Genomic DNA, 23,972 nt, shown 5'->3' with positions numbered 1-23,972 from the left:
AGCAGTTTGGGAAGTCGAGGCAGGCAGATCACTTGAGGTCAGGAGTTTGAAACCAGGCTGGTCAACATGGTGAAACCCTGTCTCTACTAAAAATACAAAAAAAATTAGCTGGGTATGGTGGCAGGCACCTGTAATCTCAGCTACTCGGGAAGCTGAGGCAAGAGAATTGCTTGAACCCAGGAGGCGGAGGTTGCAGTGAGCCAAGATCATACCACTGCACTCCAGCCTGGGCAACACAGCAAGACTTTGTCTCAAAAATTAATTAATTAATTAATTAAAGCTTTTTTTTTGTTTTTATATCCATTTTTTTTATTTCCTTCATAAAGATGTACATTATATTACATTGACACATTATATTCACCTTATTTTGTAGGGTCACCATTGACCTAGGCACTATAGGGGGAAAAAAAATGAAACCCAGTCTGCACTCCACATGACTTGTAAAAACAAGATATAGTCATCAACACCTCCAATATTGGCTTACACAATAGGCTATAACAGTGGGTTAGAGTTCTCCAAGTGCATGGGGAAAGTAAAATCAATTAGTGTATGGGTAAAACAACTCAATAAAGAACTTTTAAATATTGTTTTGCTAAGTATTCTGTGACCAAAATGTGAATTTTATCTCTTCTAAAATGACTGTACATACATATAAAGATTGTGTCGACCCCAAAATTCTGTTTTGTTCTATTAAAAATTAAAAATAGGGGCAGGGCACAGTGGCTCACACCTGTAATTCCAACATTTTGGAAGGCCAAGGCAGGAGGATCACTTGAGCACAGAAGTTTGAGAACAGCCTAGGCAACATGGTGAAACACTGTCTCCACCAAAAAAGATACAAAGATTAGCCCAGGGTGGTGGCCTGTGCCTGTAGTCCCAGCAACCCAGGAGGCTGAGGTGGGAGGATTGTTTGAGCTTGGGGAAGCCAAGGTGCAGTGAGCCATGATTGTGCCACTGCACTCCAGCCTGGGCAACAGAGTGAGACCTTGTCTCAAAAATAATAATCATAAACAATTTTGCCAAGATTTCTGGATAGTATTTTCCTAATTTTTTTTTTTCTTTTAGATGTAGTCTTGCTCTGTCACCAGGCTGGAGTGCGGTGGTGTGATCTCAGCGCACTGCAACCTCTGCCTCCTGGATTCAAGCAATTCTCCTGCCTCAGCCTCCCAAGAAGCTGGGATTACAGGCGCATACCACCACACCCTGGTAATCTTTGTATTTTTGTAGAGATGAGGTTTCACCATGTTAGCCAGGATAGTCTCAAACTTCTCACCTCAAGTAATCTGCCTGCCTTGGCCTCCCAAATTTCTGGGATTACAGGCATGAGCCACCGCACTCAGCCTAATTTTTTAAAAAAATCTTTTGAGCTTTAATTTGTTTCTAACATGATACTCCTGTATCAAGAATAGATGCTTCATCTAATGAGATTGTATTGTTCGGGCTCAGAAACCGATTCCCCAAAATATGGAGCTTTGACATACTGAACTGAAGAAGAGTACTCAAGGTCTTTCGGACCTTCCCCCTATTCCTCTCTCTCATTTCTCTATCTGAAAGCAGAGAATGAAGTTGTTCTCTGAAATTCCCTTATCTCTCTAAAGTATAGACCTGCCAAAGAAGAAAACAATTACCTCTGGTCTCTTCTCTGAGTTTTCATTAACTGAAAACTCATATCGCAAGAAGACTGAAGTCTGTCAACACACGGAGACAAACCTTTGCCACAAATCATTGTCTGGTCTGTGGGCCAAACAGACTTTGTCCTAGGCTGTTATGTTATTCAAGCCTATTGAATTCCCCTAAAAATCACTTAATACCCCTGTAAAATCATCCACACTTCCCCAACTCCCTTTTCCCTGAGAAGAAGGGTATGTAATCATCTGTATTCTATTGCATGGGGCGTGGGGGGGAGGGGGAGGGAGTAATCACTGATTCTCCCCCATGCACATTAATAAATTTGTATGCCTTTTCTCCTATTAATCTGCCTTTTGTGAGTTGACTTTTCACCAAACCTTCAGAGGACAAAGGGGAAGTTTTCCTTTGGATTCTACAGTTTCAATAGACAACCAAAAGTTAAAGTTAAAGTTGGGAATTATTTAAATATGCTTCACTCTTTGAATGTATTATTCTTACTTAATCTATTAACATGTATATGTCTTTGCTAACGTTTTGATAATTTATTGAATGGAATCCTAAATTGGAAATTCCTAGCATAAATCACACATATGTTAGAAAGTATTTTTCAGGTTGGGTTTCTTTAAAGAAGTGTGAGGATTCAAAGGCTCTGGAAAAGCAATCTCAGTGCAGATGCCTTTTGAATCCTTCCAGGTATCTGAGTTTTCTCACAATTTTAAAAATTGATTTAAACATAACTAGAATATTTCTGGCAATTTAACTGTAACACATCTACAGAACACTCACTAGGTATTCACAGTGATATTAAGAGCAATTATTTTTTCCAGTTCATTTTCTTTGATTTACCTGATTTTTTTTGAGACAGAGTCTTGCTCTGTTGCCCAGGTTAGTGCAGTGGCGCGATCACGACTCGGTTCACTGCAACCTCTGCCTCCCGGGTTCAAGCGATTCTCCTGCCTCAGCCTCCCGAGAAGCTGGTGTTACAGGCACGTGCCACTGCACCCGTTTAATTTTTTGTATTTTTAGTACAGACGGGGTTTCACCACGTTGGCCAGGCTAGTCTCAAACTCCTGATCTCAAGTGATCCGCCCGCCTCTGACTCCCAGAGTGCTGGGATTACAGGCGTGAGCCACCACGCCTGGACTAACCCTCCACATATTTATTTATGACTTTACCTATAACTTCTGCTTCCCTAAAATGTACAAAACAGTTGCATTCTGACTGCCTCAGAACCACTTTCTCATGGTCTCGGGGGATTGTGTCTTCCCTAAGCCACGGTCACTCATAGTTGCTAATAATCCTCTTTAAAATATTTTGGGCCGGGCGCAGTGGCTCACACCTGTGATCCCAACACTGGGAGGCCGAGGCAAGTGGACCACCTAAGGTCAGGAGTTCGATACCAGTCTGGCCAACGTGGTGAAACCCCGTATCTACTAAAAATACAAAAAGTAGCAGGGCCTGGTGCCACATGCCTGTGGTCCCACCTACTCGAGAGGCTGAGGCAGAAGAATCGCTTGAACCCGGAAGGTGGAGATTGCAGTGAACCGAGATCGTGCCATTGCACTCCAGGGTGGGCAACAAAGTGAGACTACACCTCAAAAACAACAACAAAAAACAAAAAAAAACCCACATATACAAGTACATTTATATGTACGAAGCGAGTCCCAAAGGGTACCTAATGGGAGACAAACTTAACAGTGAACTGGCTCTTTCTTGAGAAACGTGGACGGCTCTGAAAAGAGCCTTTGGGGTGTGGGTCACGGCGGAACTGTTACTGCAGCGAGAGGCTCACTTGGAGCTGGTATACTTGGTGACGGCCTTGGTGCCCTCGGACACGGCGTGCTTGGCCAATTCCCCGGGTAGCAGTAGGCGCACGGCCGTCTGGATCTCCCTCGAAGTGATGGTCGAGCGCTTGTTGTAATGCGCCAGGCGTGACGCTTCTCCGGCGATACGCTCAAAGATGTCGTTGACGAAGGAGTTCATGATTCCCATAGCCTTGGAAGAGATGCCGGTGTCGGGGTGGACCTGCTTCAGCACCTTGTACACATACACAGAGTAGCTCTCCTTGCGGCTGCGTTTGCGCTTCTTTCCATCCTTCTTCTGAGCCTTGTTAATGGCCTTCTTGGAGCCTTTTTTAGGGACTGGAGCAGATTTGACTGGTTCAGGCATGGTGGAAAACAAAATAAAAGACAACCTTAGGGCTGTTTCGTCCTCTTTATTTAAATGTTATTATGCAAATTAGGAGTAGAATAGGTCAGTGCTGATTGGTGATTATCCGTGGATGACGTCAGATGCCAGTTTTGCCCAATCAAAATAGGTATCCTGCATACTCGAGTCCTATTGGTCTAAATAAAAATAAAACGTAAGCCAATCGCACAGCTTCCTTTTCGCGCCCAGTAGAGGCTATAAAATGTACGTTTTTCCAATTTCATTTCAGTCTTTCTTGACCGTAAAGGTAATAGACCTTTTGCCATGTCTGGGCGTGGTAAGCAGGGAGGCAAAGCTCGCGCCAAGGCCAAGACCCGCTCTTCTCGGGCCGGGCTTCAGTTTCCCGTAGGCCGAGTGCATCGCCTGCTCCGCAAAGGCAACTATGCGGAGCGGGTCGGTGCTGGAGCGCCGGTGTACCTGGCGGCGGTGCTGGAGTACCTGACCGCCGAGATCCTGGAGCTGGCTGGCAACGCGGCCCGCGACAACAAGAAGACTCGCATCATCCCGCGTCACCTCCAGCTGGCCATCCGCAACGATGAGGAGCTCAACAAGCTTCTGGGCAAAGTCACCATCGCACAGGGTGGCGTCCTGCCCAACATCCAGGCCGTGCTGCTGCCAAAGAAAACTGAGAGCCACCACAAGACTAAGTAAAGACCGAGTTGAAAAGCGCATAAAAACAAAGGCTCTTTTCAGAGCCACTTCAACAATCATAAAAAGATGACACGAGTCCGTTTTCAGCTGCTTCACCACTACACAGTACACTCATGATGTTTCGGTGTTAATCTTTAACCTGTTTACATTGCCTGAATTTCAAGGTTTTTTTTTTTTTTTTTTTTCTTAATGTAGATACTAACAAGGTACGTTTGCTAACACGTGTTTTCAGGGGTTTTACCTTGGTGGCCAGGCTGGTCTCTGACTCGACCTCAGGTAATCCACCCGCCTAGGCCTCCCAAAGTGCTGGGATTACAGGCGTGAGCCACTGCGCCAGGCCAGTTTGTGGTATCTTGAAGGCATTTTACTGGGACACAACTTTGACAAAAGTCAAAGCCTCTTACTGGGAGTTACATAGTAGGTACTGGTGGGTTTTATTTATGATTCTGGGAAACTCACTGGGCTGTAAGGAATATAGTATAGTATTCGGTTTTTAATATGCTTACTAGAAAAAGTATATGGATTGCTACTAGACAGTGTGTTTCTCTACAGTTTCACAGTCTCTAGATTGAAAACTGAGGGTAGAGTCCTCAGCCCTATTTCCTGGCCTCTAGGAAAGGAGCTGCTCAATGGGTATATTTAAACAAAACCAGACAGTTTTATGTTTACCAATGTATACATTGGTCATGTTTTGTTTTCTATTTTTAATTTTTGCACTTACAAGAGTTTGGAATAAAAAAAAATTGGCCTTAGAAGTTTTCTAATTAAGGGTCTTTCAAACATATACATGTTCGGCAGTGACCCAATAATTACATGTATTTATGTTAGTGTACTGCTGAAATCACATGTTAATAATAGTTAACTTCATTGTATGTGTTCTGATATTTTTCTGTTTAATTCTGTATGTAATTAACCTTTTTGTACCTGGGTGTTATGTTACAAATGTATCCTGTAAACACTTACAATTAGTAAGTGAGTTAAATACTTAGTAACTGCTGGATAAGTAGATGGCCAAGCATAGTAGTCCAAGCTGGTGATGTTCGATGGTAAGGTTGGTTCTGAATACTTATTGATTCCAAGAGCACTAGTGGGTGAATACCTACACTCAGAAAAAAATATCTCTTCTGAGAAAAGCCAAAGGCTATTTTGAGAATAGTGAGGTCAGTTCCTCATGTTATCTTTTTTTTTTTTTTTTTTTTTTTTTGAGACAGGGTCTCGCTTTGTCACCCAGGCTGGAGGACAGTGGTACGATCTCGGCTCATTGCAACCTCCAACTTCTGGACACAAGCGATTCTCCCAACGCAGCCTCCTGAGTATCTGGGACCACAGGCACACGCCACCACGTTTGGCTAATTTTATTTTTTGGAGAGATGGGGTTTCGCCACATTGCCCAGGCTGGTTTCCAACTCCTGGACTCAAGCGATCCACCTGCCTCGGCCTCCCAAAGTGCTTGGATTACAGGCATGAGCCACCGCGCCCGGCCTGTTGTCCATATTTCTGTATGGGCATATCAAGGTCCTTTTATTTTGGGCCTTGAAAAGGATTGTTATGCCACTTATGAGTTTTGCCATCTCAGGAAATTCAGACACAAGAATTATGTCCTTTTTTTTAAATTTATTTATTTTTTGTTTGTTTTGTGTTTTTGAGATGGAATCTCCCTCTGTTGCCCAGGCTGAACTGCAGTGGCGTGATCTCGGCTCACAGCAACCTCCACCTCCCGAGTTCAAGCGATTCTCCTGCCTCAGCCACCAGAGTAGCTGGGACTACAGGCACATGCCACCACACCTGGCTAAATTTTTTGTATTTTTAGTAAAGACGGGGTTTTACCATGTTGGTCAGGCTGGTCATGAACTCCTGACAAATGAGCTGAGTTGGATGGTTACCAGACTATTGTAATTCAGTACATGGAGTGTTTTGAAAAGACATAGAGTATTCATTTCCACATAACTAGAACTACTCACTGTCCCTTAAATAAATAATTCCTCATGTAATTATAACTGGAAATTTAACTGGGAGTATCTTGGCTGCATATCTCCAGGAGAGGATGCCCTACCCAGCCAGCAAGAGTATTGATTAGTACATACCAGGCAGTCTCTGTGTGAGCCCTTCCTGATTTATTACTAGCTCTTAGTTTCCCAGCACAGAAAGAAGGAATGCACTATTTACACACTCAACAATATCCATCGGTTTAGCAGTTGGGCCCCTAAGTGTCCTAGAGGCACTGCTTCCCTCCAAAATAGTGTATCTTCCTTTCCAGAAGAAAGCTAATTTCTGAGAGGGGAAAAACTCTATTTTGTTTTGCTTACGGTGTTGATTCCAATTAAAAGTATTAAAGCATTATTTTAATTTGTAAAATATTAATCATAAATTATTTATCTTTCTAAATTCCATATATGTGGAAATAATGAAATCATGAACCCACACACAAGAAAATGAGGATGAGCAGATTGTGAATGTTGCAGTAGTGATCTTGATATCAAATTTCCAAAAAAGTGTATTAAGAATGTAACCAATTCTAATAACTGAAGATACATAAATAGCCAACTGAAACAAGATAGAGAATTAAAACTGCTTTTTAAAACTCAGTGTAAAAATACTATGATCTTTCCACTTACATCCTTCACAGGTTAAGCTAAGGAGAGACAGAGATGATAACACACATACACAAGCCAATTTGCCAGGGAAAATCTTGAATACTTATAAGAATGCTAGAGAGCTCACAGAAGAAGTTATAGAAATCTAGCATTCTGAATACAAGAATGGATGAGGTAAGGGCTTTCCTGGCCCACAAGAAGCTGATTTGAGCATATCTACCAAGCTGATGTATTTCTTTCATTTGAGATTTTCCATGTGGGTATGTCTCCTTACTATTATATACCCATGCATTCATTCATTTATCCAACAAATACTGATCAAAAGCTCCTACGTTACTGGAGATATGCGAGTAAACAAAAGTTCCTCCTCTCATGAGCCTGTATTTTAGAACACACAAGCAATACATCAGCAAACTCTGGTACAGCATATAGTGACAAATTCTAGGGTGAAAAAAATAGGTGGGGATTATACAGATTTTATTTAGTCATACAAAGCCTCATTGAGAAAGTAACATTTAAGCAAAGACTCAAGTATTTTATCCTGTGCTCAAAAAAACTACCACAGGCTTACCTACAAGGCAGTCTTATTTTGAATACTCCTGACAGTTCAGAGTTTTAGCCACTGTCAGCAGAAGTCAGAGAAAACACTTTCTCTCCCACACGTATTTTTACATGGGGCTTCAAAGGGAATGTTCTCTGGCGGGCTTTCTCCAGAAGACTTTTAAACCTCAAACCATCTGTCATTAACTACATTTAAGTGGTTTAAGCAGGCCCAAAATCCGGCTTGAAAAAATTCAAAGAAAACTTAACACTGCTTAGGAACGGGGGGCGGGGAGAGAACGTTTCACTTTAGCCAGCATGAGCTACATTAACCTGAATTTTTCCAACTTCAGTACAACCTTAGTTTTATTTCTGGCGTGTTGGCAAGAAATATACACACACCACAGTACAGGTTAGCAGAAAATTAGAAGCACCATCCGGTCAAAACCGGGCTGCGGAGATGGGAGAGCAATACACGAAGGAACTTTTGGCTACACTCAATGCTTACGGAAAAATGCCGGACATTATTAGATGTTAAGACTCCCAAAATTAGCATTCAAAAAGGGATAGGCTGAGTCTTACGAAACAGATTGTATAACGTCTGGAAATGGGCCCTATCTACTACAGGCAAAACAAGTACCAGGAAGAATTCCTGAGAGAAACAGATCTTTTCAGCGCGCATGTGGGTGGCTCTGAAAAGAGCCTTTGGGTATGTAATCAGTGAGTCCTTGAGACTCAAGCCCTCTCGCCGCGGATACGACGTGCGAGCTGGATGTCCTTGGGCATGATAGTCACCCGCTTGGCGTGGATGGCGCACAGGTTGGTGTCCTCAAAGAGCCCCACCAGGTAGGCCTCGCATGCCTCTTGCAGCGCCATCACCGCGGAGCTCTGGAAGCGCAAGTCGGTCTTGAAGTCCTGCGCGATCTCACGCACCAGACGCTGAAAAGGCAGCTTTCTGATCAGCAGCTCGGTGGACTTCTGGTAGCGGCGAATCTCGCGGAGAGCCACTGTACCAGGCCGATAGCGATGGGGCTTCTTGACACCGCCGGTGGCCGGAGCGCTCTTCCGAGCCGCCTTGGTGGCCAGCTGCTTGCGCGGAGCCTTGCCGCCGGTGGACTTGCGAGCAGTCTGCTTCGTACGCGCCATGCCTTCAGAGCTAGATTCACTTCAGGAGAAAGAGAAAGCTAGCCGCTTATTTATAGTGAGAGTCTGAAGCTGATTGGACAAAAGTATGCTGAAGGCCTACCCAACAGTAACCGGATTGGCGAAGGACTCAAATTTTTGTTGTTCACCTATTCCTCTGACAGACTTAGCAGTTCATGGTCTCCATATTTTATTTTCTATTTTCGCTATACAGTTGTTCACTATACTAGCGATTTCCAGTGGAAATGAGAGCAATATAAGTAATTTACACTTATCTAGGAGAACATTGTAACAAAACAAGGAAAAATTAATTTTTAATATTTTGCTTAATCCAATATAGCCAACATATTTCAATGTTATCGAAATTAAAATTGTTAGGTATTTTACACTTTTTGGCACTGACTTTTCCAAATGCAATGTGTATTTTATATAAAATTCATGCTATGGAATTTCCAATGATCACTATCCACAATTGGCTAGTGGCTGCAATACTGGACAGGACAGCCTTATACACCTGTCCCCTCAATTTTCTATCTTTTGACCACTTAAATTTAAAAAACTTCTATTTTTATAACCAAGAAAAGCTGGTTCGCATGTGAGAAATTCAAGGCCAAAAAATGTCAAAGAAACAACTTTATGTGAACTTTTCACTTTTAGATTAAAGTAATTCCATTGCAGCTTATTTTTCCAATACTCTAGAAATGTAATTCATTTTCTTTTAAGAATCTATTCCATTCGTACATCCAGATCTGATTCAGATTAAAAACATCAAGTCAGATATTTTAAAAGTGGAATTTACCATGCTGAAACAAATTAAGTCATCTCTGTACTAAGAAATCAATTTGTGTGGCTGGGGGTGGGAAAGCTCGGGAAATTTTAATTTCAATGAATTTTCAGAAAATGCTTCAAAGAGAACTACCTGGCACCATAAGTAACTGTTCTAATTAGTCTAATAATTATTCTCAACTCAATCATTAATGTTCAAATGCAATTAATTATACAGATTCGAGAGATATTTCTCAGAAATGAAGAATCCAAGTCGTTGATCTAGATTTGGATTGAACGTCGAATGCCCGGTTTGTTATTTACCAAGACCCAGAAAACATCTGGCCCCAAAGCAGACATGTTTGCTTCAACAGACTAAAAGTAAAACCCGACGGTGAACCATACAGAATTCAACATACTTGGATAATGCCAGCTTAGGAAAAACTAAATTTTCTTCCACTAAGCTTAAGATGAAGGCGTGTTTAATACTTTTAATGTTATCCAGGCTTTTTATAAAGCTAACGAGATTGTCACTACCTAACCAAGACACCGAAGACTGATCTACGTAACCTTTGGAGTGGTTTAGAAGTAGGCAAAGACGAGAAATTACATTAAACATAGTGCTCAGTTCTTCCACAAAATTGTAGGTGGCTCTGAAAAGAGCCTTTGGTTCCTTTGGGATTGAGTTGCTGCAAACTAATCCAGGCTTCTACTTGCCCTTCGCCTTGTGGTGGCTCTCGGTCTTCTTGGGCAGTAGCACGGCCTGGATGTTGGGCAGGACGCCACCCTGTGCGATGGTGACTTTGCCCAGAAGCTTGTTGAGCTCCTCATCGTTGCGGATGGCCAGCTGGAGGTGACGCGGGATGATGCGAGTCTTCTTGTTGTCGCGGGCCGCGTTGCCAGCCAGCTCCAGGATCTCGGCGGTCAGGTACTCCAGCACCGCCGCCAGGTACACCGGCGCTCCAGCACCGACCCGCTCCGCATAGTTGCCTTTGCGGAGCAGGCGATGCACTCGGCCTACGGGAAACTGAAGCCCGGCCCGAGAAGAGCGGGTCTTGGCCTTGGCGCGAGCTTTGCCTCCCTGCTTGCCACGCCCAGACATGGCAAAAGGCCTATTATCTATACGGTCAAGAAAGACTGAAGTGAAACTAGAAAAACGTACATTTTATAGCCTCTACTGGGCGCGAAAAGGAAGCTGTGCGATTGGCTTACGTTTTATTTTTATTTAGACCAATAGGACTCGATTATGCAGGATACCTATTTTGATTGGGCAAAACTGGCATCTGTCGTCATCCACGGATAATTACCAATCAGCAGAGACCTTCCCACTACCTCGGCCGCATAAACTATTATATAAAAAGAGGAGACCGACTTCTTGTTTTGGTTTTGCCACTATTGTTTCATTATGCCCGAGCTGGCCAAGTCTGCTCCCGCCCCGAAGAAGGGCTCCAAGAAGGCGGTGACCAAGGCCCAGAAGAAGGATGGCAAGAAGCGCAAGCGCAGCCGCAAGGAGAGCTACTCCGTGTACGTGTACAAGGTGCTGAAGCAGGTCCACCCCGACACCGGCATCTCTTCTAAGGCCATGGGAATCATGAACTCCTTCGTCAACGACATCTTCGAGCGCATCGCAAGCGAGGCTTCCCGCCTGGCGCACTACAACAAGCGCTCGACCATCACCTCCAGGGAGATCCAGACCGCCGTGCGCCTGCTGCTTCCGGGGGAGCTGGCCAAGCACGCGGTGTCGGAGGGCACCAAGGCCGTCACCAAGTACACCAGCTCCAAGTAAATTCTCAAGCTCTTGTCCAACCCAAAGGCTCTTTTCAGAGCCACTCACTATTATCTAAAGAAGAGCTGGTTCGCTCTTCCTATCACTGGGGGGCGAGGGGTCATAAATCATTTTGATCTATCCACTAAATTAATCTAGCTCTTTGAAAGCCATTTAAGGTGAAATGTACATGAGGTACGTGCATATAGCTACCAACACCATAGAGGGTCCGACCTTTGCGCTTGAGGGCATAAACTAAGTCCTTAGCAGGGACTGCTTTGCGCTTTGCTCGTTCCGTGTAAGTCAGTCAAGCGCATCCGGGATCACGTTATCCGGAAATTCCTTGAGCATCCACGGGTTTCTAAAAAGATGAGACCAGAATGCGTTTGACACCGCCAGGCCAGGCTCCAGGTGGTGGGTCTGGTGATGTCTGGATGTTGCACAGCAACTTGCGGTGGCGCCCCCTTTACCCAATCCTTTCCCTCACTTGCGCAACCAGACATGATTTTAAGGCACGACAAAAGACCCGAGGTAAAAACCAAAAACAGCACTAGGAAAACAAGGCTGGCGTTTTTAATCTTTCCGACTAAACTGGAAACTAGAGGGGTGGGCGCGGTGGCTCATGCCTGTAATCCCAGCACTTTGGGAGGTGGAGGCGGGCGGATCCCTTGAGCCCAGGAGTTCGCAACCAGCCTGGGCAACATAGCAAAACCCCGTCTCTGCAAAAAGCACAAAAATTAGCCAGGAGTGGTGGCGCGCCCCTGTTGTCCCAGCTACTTAGGGGGCTGATGTAGGAGGATGGCTTGAGCCTGGTAGGCGGAGTTTACAGTGAGCTGAGATCGCACCACTGCACTCCAGCCTGGGTGATAAAGCCAGGCCTTGTCTCAAAAAAAAAAGTGGGAGATCAGTAAAAGTTAACACCTTGCCTTCTCCTAATTGTCAATGCCTGCTAGCAAAAGATGCCAGAGTAGATTTTTAAAAGTTTTTCTTGTTTTCACCCAAACCCAACTGTTTTTCGTATACTATTTACCATCCAATTTACTAACATTTATTAAGCATCTACTATTCACCATAGGCCAGTCATAGTATTCTGCTATAGGAATGGAAAATCCTGAATAAGCCTCCCAGACCTTAATTCTCAATCATTGCTGGTGGCCCCACAAATTGGTAGTGCTTTCATAAAGGAAAATTTGGTAATACCTGTCAAAATTTTAAAATGCACCTATCTTTACATCAGAAATTTCACCCCTAGGAATTTACTATTTTTGAAAATATGCAAAATAATATATGCAGGGGTTTCCAGCAGCACTGTTTGTAGTATAAGACTGAAGCAATTTGACTGATTAGCAATAAATTACAGTACATCATTCTATCTAGTAAAAAATAAGAAGGCTCTTTTTCATAATTATTTACTGCTTATCATGTGCCAGATAATGTCCTAAAAAGCTCTCTACATATGTTAAATCATTTAGCTTTCATAACAACTTTGTGAAAAATTACTATTTTTATACCTGTTTTACAGATCATAAAATGGGGGTTCAGAGAGCTCGAGTAAATTGCCTAAAGTGTGAAATTGTACAGTGGGAAAGTTGTCAATCAAAATGAAATCACTAATGTTAAGAAAATCCTGACACAGAGCCAAGAAAAGCCATAAAGAGAAAGTTCTCACGCTTGTATGCCTAATAACAAAAACTATCACAAAAGATGGTAAGAGCCACAACCATAAACACAGGCCATCAAAACCTTACACACACAAAAAATACTTCTACAAGACCATTTGTCCAACAACTGCCTTCCCAACCTTGGACTGGCATCGCCCTTGTTATTGTAACCCTCCTTATTTTTTTCTTTAAAAACCTTTGTCTTCCTTTACCTCCTTGAATACACATGTACTTTATAGCATATGGATTCCCATTACAATGCTTTATTCCCAAATAAATGTATTTGTCTTTAGAGAGCCTCTATGTTTGTTACTTAGGTTGGTAACAGGTAATGAGTAGTGAAAACATGATTCAAAACCAGAATCTGGTTTCAGAATCCCTATTTATAACCAGTGTATACTATACGGCTTCTCCAGGTGCTAATAATGGGATGATTTCCAAAATTTGCTGTCAAATGCAATAAAAGCAAGATACAGGATAATGTGCAGTAGAATTTTGTGTGTGTTTGTGTGTGTGTATAAATGTAAAATATTTTTGGAAGGATACTGGATAAATTGCTATCAGTGGTGGCCTCTGAGGAAAGAGAAAGTTGGATGTCCTACAGACAGGGATGGATGGAGGATCTTTTCATTGTAACTTCTTATGGTCTTTGAATTTTGAATCCTATGTGTGTATTGTCCATCCATAAAAAAAAATAGCGTAAAGAATCACTTCACTTGATTATCAGTAAAACACACATTATAAGATGATAAATGCTGCAGTAGAGATATGAATAAAAAGCCTAAGGAGCACAGAATAAATAATATTATGGGTGGGAGTGGGAAGAGTGCCAAATAGCATTCTGGGCAATAAGAAAATGGGTGTCACCTTCAAAAACGCAGAAATATTGTGGTGTGGCTAAAGTCAGGGGTAGGCAGAAGGGAGCACCCACGGGGCTGAGCAAGTAGTCTGTGACTATGCTACACCAGTGGCCTCCTTCTGTATCACGGCAGGCTTCTCAAAATGAGGACTTCAGGATAAAACAACTAGATATAATCTGAGAAGGACTTACTAAGTGAGATTCTGAAATATTTTACACATAATTCCAGATGCCAATTTAACACTATTTATTTAAATGTTACTTAAATAACATTTATTTAAATGAGCAGACTCTGAAGTTATTTGTTAATCTAGCAGTCATAGAGTTTTCTTTGTTGGTCAGACCATGTGGGAGAAAAAGCAAAAGAAAGTACTATTAGTCTCTTTTAGACTCTTACAAGTATTTGTCACCAGTTAAAAAGAGATATGTCAAATAGAGCATTGTTTTTTGTTTTGTTTTGTTTTTTTGAGACGGAGTCTCACTCTTGTTGCCCAGGCTGGAGTGCAATAGCGTGATCTGGGTTCATTGCAAGCTCCGCGGGGTTCAAGCAATTCTCCTGCCTCAGCCTCCTGAGTAGCTGTGATTACAGGCACGCCCCACCACGCCCGGCTAATTTTTGTACTTTTAGTAGAGACAGGGTTTCGTCATGTTGGCCAGGCTGGTCTTGAACTCCTGACCTCAGGTGATCTGCCCGCCTCAGCCTCCCAAAGTGCTGGGATTACAGGCGTGAGCCACGGCGCCCGGCCCAAATAGAGCATTGTTACCGTCACAATATATAACTAAATAAGCCAATGAATCAAAATTGCACACTGAATAGATATATATCTATGGGATATTCAACTGTGTCTAATATTTGGACATTTTAGAAAATGCTTTTCAAGTTAAGTGATGCTCTGCAATTATCTTAACTTACAACAAACTATTTGGTGGCAGTTTTGGATACTGGTACTACTATGATCTGAATGGTTACCCTCCAAATATTTATGTTGAAAACAAAAACAAGAAACAAATACTTGTGTTGAAGCATAATCCCCATTATGGTGGTATTAAGAGGTGGGGCCTTTGGGAGGTGAATAGGTCATAAGGATGGCGTCCTCATGAATGGGATTAGTACCCCTATAAAAGAGGGAGCTTGTTCACCCCCTGTACCATACGAAGTTGCAGCAAGAAGATGCTATCTATGAAGCAGAGAGTGAGCCTCATTAGACATAGAATATGGTGTCTCCTTGATCTTAGACTTCCTAGCCTTTAGAACTGTAAGAAGTAAAATCCTGTTATTTGTTAGTCACCTAGTTTAGTGTATTTTCTTATAGCGGCCCAAAGAAACTAAGATGCAAAACTCCATATTGAACAGGAGAGAGAAAATCTAACACATCAGATCACATCCTTTGACTGTCTTTGTGAAGGAGAATTGTAATTCCGTAGCTTCAAGGAAGAGAGACCATGCCCTTACATCTGTGTGTGTGTGTGTGTGTGTGTGTGTGTGTGTGTGTGTGTGTGAATGATTTTGTTAATTAGGATTTTATAGGGCCAAGCGCGGTGGCTCCTGCCTGTAATCCCAGCACTTTGGGAGGCCGAGGTGGGCAGATCACCTGAGATTAGGAGTCTGAGACCAGCCTGACCAACATGGGGAAACCCCGTCTCTACTTAAAATACAAAATTAGCTGGGCGTGGGGGCGCATGCCTGTAATCCCAGCTACTCGGGAGGCTAAGTCAGGAAAATCGCTTGAACCAGGGAGGTGGAGGTTGCGGTGAGCCGAGATGGCGCCATCGCACTCCAGCCTGGGCAACAAGAGCGAAAGTCCGTCTCAAAAAAAAAAAAATGTATAGCCAGGCGCGGTGGCTCATGCCTGTATTCCCAGCACTTTGGGAGGCCGAGGCAGGCGGATCACTTGAGGCTAGGAGTTCGAGACCGCCCTGCTCAACACAACATGGTAAAACCCCGTCTCTACTAAAAGTTTTTTTAAAATTAGGCAGGCATGGTGGCTCGCGCCTATAATCCCGGCTACTCGGGAGGCTGAGGCAGGAGAATCGCTTGAATCCGGGAGGTGGAGGTTGCAGTGAGCCGAGATCGAGCCACTGTACTCTAGCCTGGGCGACAGAGTGAGATCCTGTCTCAAAAAAAAAAAAAAAATTATTTGCAAGGCCATGTTCTAAAATTTTATTAGTAGGTATTAAATTATAAGAAGGAGTAGGCCTGAATGGATATTTGACATGAAGAAATATAAAAAGACTGGAAGAGGATTTTATTTCATAACAGGAGAATAAGAGAGCATACGTATCCTTCAACAGGGCTTTATTGTCTACCCTCTAGGTGATACTTCTCTCAAATGAACATTTTGGCTTATTGTCAGGAATAAGGGTATTTTTTTGTTTTTGTTATTTTCATGCTTAACGTAGGTACAGTCCTCAACTTCTTTCATAAAAGCTTTTTTCTAAATTGATTTTTTTTCATTACAACCTCATGTTCCCTTATAAGAACTTACTCTTCAGCCTGTCTCAGAACATATTTACAAGATATGAGCTATAATTGAATAATCATAGCATTTAAGGCTAGAAAACCTTAAGCAACGTCAGTTCATTTGTGCTGCTATAACGGAATATCTGAGTGAGTAATTTATAAAGGAATTTATTTTTCTCCCAGTTCTGGAGGCTGGGAGTACAAGATTCAGGTCCTAGAAGATTCCATGGCTGCTGAAGGCCAGGTCTCTGCTTCCAAATTGGCACCTTGAGTCCTGTGTCTTTGGGGGAAGGTTGTGGGGAGTAACACTATGTCTTCCTATGGCAGGACAAAAAGGGATGAACTCCCTTCCTCTGTCAAGCCCTTTTATAACAGCATTAATTCATTCCTGAAAGCAGAGCCCTCATGACTTAAACATTTTCCAAAAGACTCTACCTCCCAACCTTGTTGCACTGGGGCTTAAGTTTCCAACACATTAATTTTGGGGGACACATTTGTACCATACCAAAGAAGGTCCTGCAAACCTGACATTCTCCCCTAGCCTGCCTTCCTCTGCAATGTTTCCATGAGTGTCGGTTGTTATAACCTGGATGTACTGATGGAATGCTTCAGGTGGGAATTTTATTTATTTATTTATTCATTCATTCATTCATTCATTTATTTGAGACGAAGTCTCGCTGTCACCCAGGCTGGAGTGCAGTGGTGCAATCTCTGCTCACTGCAACCTCTGCCTCCCACGTTCAAGCGATTCTCATGCCTCAGCCTCCCAAGTAGCTGGGACTACAGGTGCACACCACCGCACCCAGCTAATATTTGTATTTTTAGTAGAGACGGGGTTTCACCATGTTGGCCAGGCTGATCTCAAACTCCTGAGCTCAGGTGATCCGCCCACCTCGGCCTCCCAAAGTGCTGGGAGTACAGGCGTGAGCCATTGCACCAGGCCTTTTCAAGCAGAGATTTTATTGGGATGCTTGCATCTGAAGGATATATTCACAATAACAAAACTTATAAGAAAATAGTAAAGCTAGAACTCATTGTGTTAATTATAGTGGAAGATGTGCCTGGACTTAGAACTGACCACAAATTGTTAATCAGAAATTGCTTTAGTAAGTAACAAATCAAAGTAAATGAAACAGCCTGGTTACTAAGGAATAGTTTCATAATTTTGAATGGGATTAAAACTTGTCTCTCTTACTGTTGGTGGAATCCTGTCTTAAACAGCCACACAGGCAATCTAGCATGAACTAATAGTCCTTCCTTGGTTGGTTTTGGGCTGCAACTCATTGATAATCATCATGCTTAGTTTGCCTTTGTTCCAATTCCAAGCAGGCCAACCACTTTCCCATGTACATATTGTAACCACCCAAGGGGTTAACCTTGCCCGCTGCCTAGACAGAGCTGATTCATCAAGACAGGGGAATTGCAATAGAGAAAGAGTAATTCACACAGAGCTGGCTGTGCAGGAGACTGGAGTTTTATTACTCAAATCAGTTTCCCTGGGCATTTGGGGAGCAGAGTTTTTAAGGATAACTTGGTGGATGGGGGGAAGCCAGTGAGCCAGGAGTGCTGAATGGTCAGAGATTAAATCATAGGGAGTTGAAGCTCTCTTCTTGTGCTGAGTCAGTTCCTGGGTGGGGGCTACAGGATCAGATGAGCCAGTTAATAGATCTGGGTGGTGCTATCTGACCCATCTTGAGTGCAGCGTCTGCAAAATATCTCAAGCACTGATCTTAGGAGCAGTTAGGGAGGGTTAGAATCTTGTAGCCTCCAGCTGCCATAATTTTTAATCTTGTGGCTAATGTTAGTCCTACAAAGGCAATCCAGTCCCAAGGCAAGAAGGAGGTCTGCTTTGGGAAAGGGCTGTTACCATCTTTGTTTAAACTATAAACTACAAACTAAGTTTCTCCCTAAATTAGTTCAGCCTACACCCAGGAATGAACAAGGATGGCTTGGAGGTTAGAAGCAAGACGGAGTTGGTTAAATTCCATCTCTTTCTCTGTCTCAGTCATAATTTTGCAAAGGTGGCTTCAATATCTGTCATTAAATTGCTGGAATGTTACTTTATTTTGCATTTGACTATTTTTTTTTTAAATTTTTATTTGAGATGAAGTCTCGTTCTGTCGCCCAGGCTGGAGTGCAGTGGCACGATCTCTGCTCACCACAACCTCCACCTCCCAGGTTCAAGCGATTCTCCTGCCTCAGCCTCCCGAGTAGCTGGGATTACAGGCGCGTGCCACTGCACCTGGCTAATTTTTTGTGTTTTTAGTAGAGATGGAGTTTCACCATGTTGGCCAGGCTGGTCTTGAACTCCTGACCTCAGTTAATCTGCCCGCCTCGGCCTCCCAAAGTGCTAGGATTACAGGCGTGAGCCACTGTGCCTGGCCCGATTATTTAATATCTGAGAAACATAAGAGGCTAAGAAAAGCTTTGAAAGAATGTCATCTATTTTATTTATGCTTATATTATGGCCAGGTTATATTTCTTTTTCTTTTTTTTTTTTTTTTGAGATGGAGTCTCACTCTGTTGCCCTGGAGTGCAATGGTGTGATCTCAGCTCACTGCAACCTCCACCTCCCGGGTTCAAGGGATTCTCCTACTTCAGCCTCCCAAGTAGCTGGGATTACAGGCACGTACCACCACGCCCGCCTAATTTTTTAAAAGTTTTTAGTAGAGACAGGGTTTCTCCATGTTGGCCAGGCTGGTCCCGAACTCCTGACCTCAGGTGATCCACCTGCCTCGGCCTCCCACATTGATGGGGTTACAGGCATGAGTCACCGTGCCTGGCCAACCAGGTTATATTTCTATAGCCTCTCCAAATTCTGGGAACGAACCCCACTTGAGGCCTACAACACTAAATTCCCACATCCCCAAAAGATGTACTCAAATATTGGAGCAGTTAGCACAGTCCAGACTATCAAATGTGTTGACCTGAAATCTATTTTCTGTATGGACAAGAAGACTACAGACTGAGAATTTTAATAGAAGATATTGCCATTCATAAGAATTGTGCTGCAGGAAGGAAAAGAGACGAGAAAACCTACAAGCTTAACCAAGAAAATGGATCTAACCTTCCATTCAGTGGCCCCCAGATCTTCCTGTTCCTTTCCATGCAATGAACAAACATAGGAGCTAGAACCTGGTTCCTTGGTGTAAAACAAACAAACAAACAAAAAAACAACAAAAAAAAAACAGCCAAAACTGAGGATCTAAGGTCATCTTGACCTTTGTGAGATCACCACAAAGAAACAAATGCCATTTTGTCCACTGTGTGATCACAAACAAGTCAGTGACACTCATTATACCAGTTTCCTTAACAGCAAAATAGGGGTGAAAATCAGCCTCATTTTATCAGGAAGTTGTATGATTGAATAAGACAATGAATAAGATATATGTAGGACAGGCATGGTGGCTCATGCCCGTAATCCCAGTACTTTGGGAGGCCGAGGTGGGCAGATCACTTGAGGTCAGGAGTTCAGGACCAGCCTGGCCAACATGGTGAAACCTCGTCTCTACTAAAATTACAAAAATTAGCTGGGCATGGTGGCACATGCCTGTAATCCCAGCTACTCAGAAGGCTAAGGCAGGAGAATCACTTGAACCCGGGAGGCAGAGGTTGCAGTGAGCCAAGACTGCGCCACTGAACTCCAGCCTGGGAAACAGAGCGAGGCTCTGTCTCAAACAAACAAACAAACAAACAAAAAAGACATATGTAACAGGGAAATAATTATCACCATGCATTAAGAGGAAAAGAATAATATAGAAATTACTGCAAATTATATTTATAAGTGAGGAAAATCACTCAGAGCCAGTAATTTTACCTCTATATGACCCCATCAGCCAGCTTAAAGGAAATTAACTTACTTAACCAAAAAAACATTTATTGAGCACTTAATATATGAGAGACAATATATTAGCATTGAGAATACACGCTGAAAATAGCCTGCTAAAATTCCTGTTCTTATGGTACTTTGAGGTGGGATTAAATTCCATAACATGTCATCACCTTGATAAGTGGTTTAGATAAAAATACAGCAGGAAAGGGGATAGGGAGCTGGAGATTGCATTTTTAAGGAGGGCATACAAATGAGGTCTCATTGAACTGTCATTGGCATAAACTGGTGAGAGAGTATATTGCTACCTGGGGGAAGCTGTTTGGGGCAGAAGGAACTATGAGTGCAAAGTACCAGAGGCAGGCTCTGCTTAGCATGTTCTGGGAACAGCAGGTTAGGCCATAGTGGTGGGAGCAAAGACAGCCATGGGGTGGGTAAGAAGTTTTGAGCTTCATCGTTCACCTTCTTGGCTCTTAGCCCAAAATGATTCCTACATAGAGCCTCAAAAACCTGCACATTTTCTAAATAGCTGCTGAAAAAATGCACCACAAAATAAAAAAGAGAAAATGGCTCTGCCCCTGCTAAGATCTAGATCTAGGAAAGCAAATGATATTCTTGTACAATGATGCATAAAGGGATAAATTCTAATAAAGGAGTATTGGTCTCAGCTGTACCCCATCACCAAGACCAGTGCATTAAATGCAATACTGAGTGAATGATACCCAACAAATGTCTTATTATTGCTTCATATAATAACAGTACATAGCACATAGAGGGTATCTTTGGGGGAATTTTCTTTAATCATCTACTTAAAGTTTTTTACTTTTCCGCATTTTATCCCACTCTTTCAGACTCCCAGGCCAACAATTTTGTAAACACCATTTTTGAAGATACATAACAAAGGAAACATGAACACTGATATTCACTAAGGCATTATTTATGGTGGCAAAAAATTTGAGACAGGCTTTTTGGGCAACACTGAGAGAGTAGTGTGAACCTAAAGTATCTGAAACAGGTCTCAATCAATTTAGAAAGTTTATTTTGCCAAGGTTAAGGACGTGTCCATGACACAGCTCAGGGGCTCCTGATGACATGTGCCCGAGGTGGTAGGGGCACAGCTTGGTTTTATACAGGGAGACATGAGACTTCAATCAATATGTTAAGATGTACATTGGTTCAGTCTGGAAAGGGACAACTCAAAATGTGGGGTAGGGGGAAGGTTCCAGGTCATAGGTAGATAAGAGACAAAAGGTTGCATTCTTTTGAGTCTCTGATTAGCCTTTCCCTTAATACACAATTTACATGTGAGGATGGATAGAGAAATAATTACTTATTCCTTAGTCCACTTAGTGAATCTGCATTTTTACATAAACAATAGGGCAGAAGAAGCAATCAGATATGCATTTGTCTCAGGTGAACAGAGGGATGACTTTCTGTCCTGCCTCTGTGAAGATAAGCTATCAACTTACATTGCCAGGGTGAAATTCAACAGAACTGTTTTAGGGTAAAGATCTTGAGGTCCACAAAGAATTTCCTTGTGGGCAAATTGTGAGGGAGGTATGTAGCTTTACGCTTTTTTTTTTTTTGTCTTTTTTTTTTTTTTCCTTTTTCTGGAGAACGGGGTCTCGTTATATTGCCCAGCAGGTCTCGAACTCCTGGGCTCAAGCTATCCTCCCGCCTCTTGCCTCCCTGAGAGCTGGGATTACAGGCGTGAGCCACCACGCCCGGCCTGAGGTATGTAGCTTTAAATAAAATAAAATAAAATAAAATAAAATAAAATAAAATAAAATAAAATAAAATAAAATAAAATAAAATAAAATAAAACTTTGTAACTATCTTATTTAGGAGTAAAATGGGAGGCAGCTTTGCTTGTCACAGTTCCCAGCTTGACTTTTCCCTTTATGTTAGTGATTTGGGGTCCTGATATTTATTTTCTTTTCACTGTAGATAGATACAATTCCTGTTTCTGGAGTTTTTCTGGTTATTATTACTGCATAACAAGCTAGCCCCAAACTTGATGGCATAAAACAAGCATATTATTATATTCATGGATTCTGTGGTCAGGAAATAGGACAGAGCACAGCAGGGATTGCTACCTCTGCTCCAAGATGTCTAGAGCATCAGGTGTAAACTCACCAGCTTAGGGTGATTCTTGGGATAACCGCTGAAGGCTGGGATCATTTGGAAGCCTCTTCACTCGCATAGCTGGTAAATGATGCTGGCTGTGGCATGGGACTACCAGCCAGAGCATCTACATGTGTGGCCTGAGCTACTTAACAGTATGGTGGCTTCAGAGTGGTCAGACTTGTCATAGAGTAGCTCAAGATTCTGAAGGTGAGTCTCTCAGGACATCCAACCAGAAACTGTGACTTCCCATTTCAGAATAAAAGTCAAAATCCTAACAAGGTCCTACACAGCATTGTAATTGTATGTGAGAGGATGATTCAGTGGGAGAGTACAAACAAGGATGGAAGCACGGATTTTACTATTAGAAAAGGCCCCAGAAAACCTAGATGAAAGATCCAAGGTCGTTTTGCAAAAATTGTGCACTCCTATGGTTAATTCTTTATGCAGTATTGTCCTGAGCATTGCAAGATTCCCAGTATCTCTGGTTCTGACCTGTGAAAGCCAGTTGTGCCCCAGTCATTGAAACAAGCAAAACACCCAGGCATTTCCAAAATACTCCTGTAGAGGGCAGTACAGTTTTGTTTAAAAACCCATTATTTCATACTTAGCAGTTAAGAGCTAGTGACTCAGGGATAAATATTTGTCAGAAGAAAAACTTCATAAGCAGGCTTATAGGTGGCCCCATGGTGTAATGGTTAGCACTCTGGACTTTGAATCCAGCGATCCGAGTTCAAATCTCGGTGGGACCTTCTTGGCTCTTTTTTTTTTTTTTTTCCCACTTCTGCCAGTTATCTTGTCTCTTAAAACTAGAGTGATTCCTTGTAATCCAGTCCACCATACATCATAGTATCTTCTTAGCAGTAGTATCTATGTCAGTCCTCAGAAGTGTGAGACCACCTGTGGAAGCAAAGCCCATGTGCACAATCAACACTACCAGGAACAACTCCCTAATTCTGTAACCTGTTCCCAGACACAGATGGGACAGAGGCGCCTGTCTGAAATGTCTCCCCATGTCTTGATTCCTAGAAAGGCATGTATGTGTGCATAATAGAGAAATGCCTGTTTTTAAAAGAATGACCACATTACTCTATCTCTGGGAAAAAAAAGTATCTAACATGAGAAGTGATAAATATCTGATTTGAGGTTAACAAACTTGTAGTGGTACTGTTGTCCCTCCAGGCTTCACTCTCCATGGAACACTTTCAGTGAGGATGGGATTCAAGCCCACACATGAAAAGTGTACTGGATTAGCAAATGGTCAGGCTACCTCATCCTATCCTGGTTGCAAATTTCTCAAGTTCTTTCTTAGACTTATTTTTGGTAAAGCCTCTGCACTTTGATTAAGTTGATAGGCATGGTACTGTCAAACTGCTGGCAGCAGCTCATCAGCACACAGGCCTTGCTGTCGTCTTAGAGACTCTCACACAAGTCCTTTCCCTTTTGCTTGAGATAGATTTTTTGCATTTTAGTGATTGCTACCCTAACTTGCACACAACTCCAGCCTCATCCATCACCATTCCTGCCACACACAGAGCCCAAAATTAGCTTTTAGTCACCGGCCATGGTAAAATTATTTCTATTCTTTGTTTTTTCCCTCTCTTCTCATTTTCTACTTGCAACACATTTTTGTTCTCCCCTCTACCCTCACGTTATGAGAGCTAGTTCTTTTACTCATTCTTCAAATATTAACTTAGACCTTCCAGACCTTCTTACTGAGGCCTTCACTGGGCTCCCTTTATA

At 42.6% G+C, this 23,972-nt stretch overlaps 5 protein-coding genes, 1 non-coding gene and 1 pseudogene across 6 annotated transcripts, besides 15 other annotated features; 3 read left to right on the top strand and 4 right to left on the bottom strand.

The window, feature by feature from the left end:
- Nucleotides 3,162-3,211: an enhancer, noted in NCBI's record as "active region_24314". NCBI's record gives its function as "activates an Ori minimal core promoter by ATAC-STARR-seq in GM12878 lymphoblastoid cells {active_cell/tissue: GM12878}" and the evidence as "EXISTENCE:reporter gene assay evidence [ECO:0000049][PMID:35858748]".
- Nucleotides 3,302-3,361: an enhancer, noted in NCBI's record as "active region_24313". NCBI's record gives its function as "activates an Ori minimal core promoter by ATAC-STARR-seq in GM12878 lymphoblastoid cells {active_cell/tissue: GM12878}" and the evidence as "EXISTENCE:reporter gene assay evidence [ECO:0000049][PMID:35858748]".
- On the bottom strand, nucleotides 3,353-3,820 carry H2BC14 (H2B clustered histone 14). Its single transcript, NM_003521.3, has one exon. It carries the CDS (start codon nucleotides 3,796-3,798, stop codon nucleotides 3,418-3,420), a length of 381 nt encoding a protein of 126 aa, NP_003512.1. The 5' UTR covers nucleotides 3,799-3,820; the 3' UTR covers nucleotides 3,353-3,417.
- Nucleotides 3,472-3,591: an enhancer, noted in NCBI's record as "active region_24312". NCBI's record gives its function as "activates an Ori minimal core promoter by ATAC-STARR-seq in GM12878 lymphoblastoid cells {active_cell/tissue: GM12878}" and the evidence as "EXISTENCE:reporter gene assay evidence [ECO:0000049][PMID:35858748]".
- A 244-nt stretch (nucleotides 3,821-4,064) lies between the features above and the next one.
- On the top strand, nucleotides 4,065-4,540 carry H2AC14 (H2A clustered histone 14). Its single transcript, NM_021066.3, has one exon. It carries the CDS (start codon nucleotides 4,102-4,104, stop codon nucleotides 4,486-4,488), a length of 387 nt encoding a protein of 128 aa, NP_066544.1. The 5' UTR covers nucleotides 4,065-4,101; the 3' UTR covers nucleotides 4,489-4,540.
- Nucleotides 4,282-4,431: an enhancer, noted in NCBI's record as "active region_24311". NCBI's record gives its function as "activates an Ori minimal core promoter by ATAC-STARR-seq in GM12878 lymphoblastoid cells {active_cell/tissue: GM12878}" and the evidence as "EXISTENCE:reporter gene assay evidence [ECO:0000049][PMID:35858748]".
- Nucleotides 7,782-8,453: an enhancer, noted in NCBI's record as "H3K27ac hESC enhancer chr6:27778167-27778838 (GRCh37/hg19 assembly coordinates)". NCBI's record gives its function as "activates a minimal SCP1, AML or CMV promoter by ChIP-STARR-seq in primed H9 embryonic stem cells {active_cell/tissue: H9 hESC(primed)}" and the evidence as "EXISTENCE:reporter gene assay evidence [ECO:0000049][PMID:30033119]".
- Nucleotides 8,306-8,791, bottom strand: H3C10 (H3 clustered histone 10). Its single transcript, NM_003536.3, has one exon. It carries the CDS (start codon nucleotides 8,766-8,768, stop codon nucleotides 8,358-8,360), a length of 411 nt encoding a protein of 136 aa, NP_003527.1. The 5' UTR covers nucleotides 8,769-8,791; the 3' UTR covers nucleotides 8,306-8,357.
- Nucleotides 8,454-9,125: an enhancer, noted in NCBI's record as "H3K27ac hESC enhancer chr6:27777495-27778166 (GRCh37/hg19 assembly coordinates)". NCBI's record gives its function as "activates a minimal SCP1, AML or CMV promoter by ChIP-STARR-seq in primed H9 embryonic stem cells {active_cell/tissue: H9 hESC(primed)}" and the evidence as "EXISTENCE:reporter gene assay evidence [ECO:0000049][PMID:30033119]".
- Nucleotides 8,548-8,837: an enhancer, noted in NCBI's record as "active region_24310". NCBI's record gives its function as "activates an Ori minimal core promoter by ATAC-STARR-seq in GM12878 lymphoblastoid cells {active_cell/tissue: GM12878}" and the evidence as "EXISTENCE:reporter gene assay evidence [ECO:0000049][PMID:35858748]".
- Nucleotides 9,809-10,407: an enhancer, noted in NCBI's record as "NANOG-H3K27ac-H3K4me1 hESC enhancer chr6:27776213-27776811 (GRCh37/hg19 assembly coordinates)". NCBI's record gives its function as "activates a minimal SCP1, AML or CMV promoter by ChIP-STARR-seq in primed H9 embryonic stem cells {active_cell/tissue: H9 hESC(primed)}" and the evidence as "EXISTENCE:reporter gene assay evidence [ECO:0000049][PMID:30033119]".
- Nucleotides 9,809-10,525: a biological region, named in NCBI's record as "NANOG-H3K27ac-H3K4me1 hESC enhancer GRCh37_chr6:27776213-27776811".
- H2AC13 (H2A clustered histone 13) lies at nucleotides 10,175-10,669 on the bottom strand. Its single transcript, NM_003509.3, has one exon. The coding sequence runs from the start codon at nucleotides 10,630-10,632 to the stop codon at nucleotides 10,240-10,242; it is 393 nt and encodes a 130-aa protein (NP_003500.1). The 5' UTR covers nucleotides 10,633-10,669; the 3' UTR covers nucleotides 10,175-10,239.
- Nucleotides 10,326-10,525: an enhancer, noted in NCBI's record as "active region_24309". NCBI's record gives its function as "activates an Ori minimal core promoter by ATAC-STARR-seq in GM12878 lymphoblastoid cells {active_cell/tissue: GM12878}" and the evidence as "EXISTENCE:reporter gene assay evidence [ECO:0000049][PMID:35858748]".
- Nucleotides 10,866-11,095: an enhancer, noted in NCBI's record as "active region_24308". NCBI's record gives its function as "activates an Ori minimal core promoter by ATAC-STARR-seq in GM12878 lymphoblastoid cells {active_cell/tissue: GM12878}" and the evidence as "EXISTENCE:reporter gene assay evidence [ECO:0000049][PMID:35858748]".
- Nucleotides 10,866-11,607: a biological region, named in NCBI's record as "NANOG-H3K27ac-H3K4me1 hESC enhancer GRCh37_chr6:27775013-27775612".
- On the top strand, nucleotides 10,913-11,363 carry H2BC13 (H2B clustered histone 13). The gene has a single exon (NM_003519.4). It carries the CDS (start codon nucleotides 10,936-10,938, stop codon nucleotides 11,314-11,316), a length of 381 nt encoding a protein of 126 aa, NP_003510.1. The 5' UTR covers nucleotides 10,913-10,935; the 3' UTR covers nucleotides 11,317-11,363.
- Nucleotides 11,008-11,607: an enhancer, noted in NCBI's record as "NANOG-H3K27ac-H3K4me1 hESC enhancer chr6:27775013-27775612 (GRCh37/hg19 assembly coordinates)". NCBI's record gives its function as "activates a minimal SCP1, AML or CMV promoter by ChIP-STARR-seq in primed H9 embryonic stem cells {active_cell/tissue: H9 hESC(primed)}" and the evidence as "EXISTENCE:reporter gene assay evidence [ECO:0000049][PMID:30033119]".
- Nucleotides 11,346-11,445: an enhancer, noted in NCBI's record as "active region_24307". NCBI's record gives its function as "activates an Ori minimal core promoter by ATAC-STARR-seq in GM12878 lymphoblastoid cells {active_cell/tissue: GM12878}" and the evidence as "EXISTENCE:reporter gene assay evidence [ECO:0000049][PMID:35858748]".
- On the bottom strand, nucleotides 11,505-11,675 carry H4C10P (H4 clustered histone 10, pseudogene; annotated as a pseudogene).
- Nucleotides 11,608-12,208: an enhancer, noted in NCBI's record as "NANOG-H3K27ac-H3K4me1 hESC enhancer chr6:27774412-27775012 (GRCh37/hg19 assembly coordinates)". NCBI's record gives its function as "activates a minimal SCP1, AML or CMV promoter by ChIP-STARR-seq in primed H9 embryonic stem cells {active_cell/tissue: H9 hESC(primed)}" and the evidence as "EXISTENCE:reporter gene assay evidence [ECO:0000049][PMID:30033119]".
- TRQ-TTG3-3 (tRNA-Gln (anticodon TTG) 3-3) lies at nucleotides 22,910-22,981 on the top strand. Its single transcript has one exon. It is a non-coding gene; the product is annotated as a tRNA-Gln (tRNA).
- The last annotated feature ends 991 nt before the right edge of the window (nucleotides 22,982-23,972 follow it).

The sequence above is a fragment of the Homo sapiens genome, chromosome 6 (assembly GCF_000001405.40).
Source record: "Homo sapiens chromosome 6, GRCh38.p14 Primary Assembly".
NCBI lineage: Eukaryota > Metazoa > Chordata > Mammalia > Primates > Hominidae > Homo > Homo sapiens.
This window is presented reverse-complemented; position numbering and strand designations above follow the sequence as displayed.

Coding starts and splice junctions, on each gene's coding strand:
- H2BC14 (NM_003521.3), bottom strand. CDS start 3,798: ATGCCTGAACCAGTCAAATCTGCTCCAGTCCCTAAAAAAGGCTCCAAG.
- H2AC13 (NM_003509.3), bottom strand. CDS start 10,632: ATGTCTGGGCGTGGCAAGCAGGGAGGCAAAGCTCGCGCCAAGGCCAAG.
- H2BC13 (NM_003519.4), top strand. CDS start 10,936: ATGCCCGAGCTGGCCAAGTCTGCTCCCGCCCCGAAGAAGGGCTCCAAG.
- H3C10 (NM_003536.3), bottom strand. CDS start 8,768: ATGGCGCGTACGAAGCAGACTGCTCGCAAGTCCACCGGCGGCAAGGCT.
- H2AC14 (NM_021066.3), top strand. CDS start 4,102: ATGTCTGGGCGTGGTAAGCAGGGAGGCAAAGCTCGCGCCAAGGCCAAG.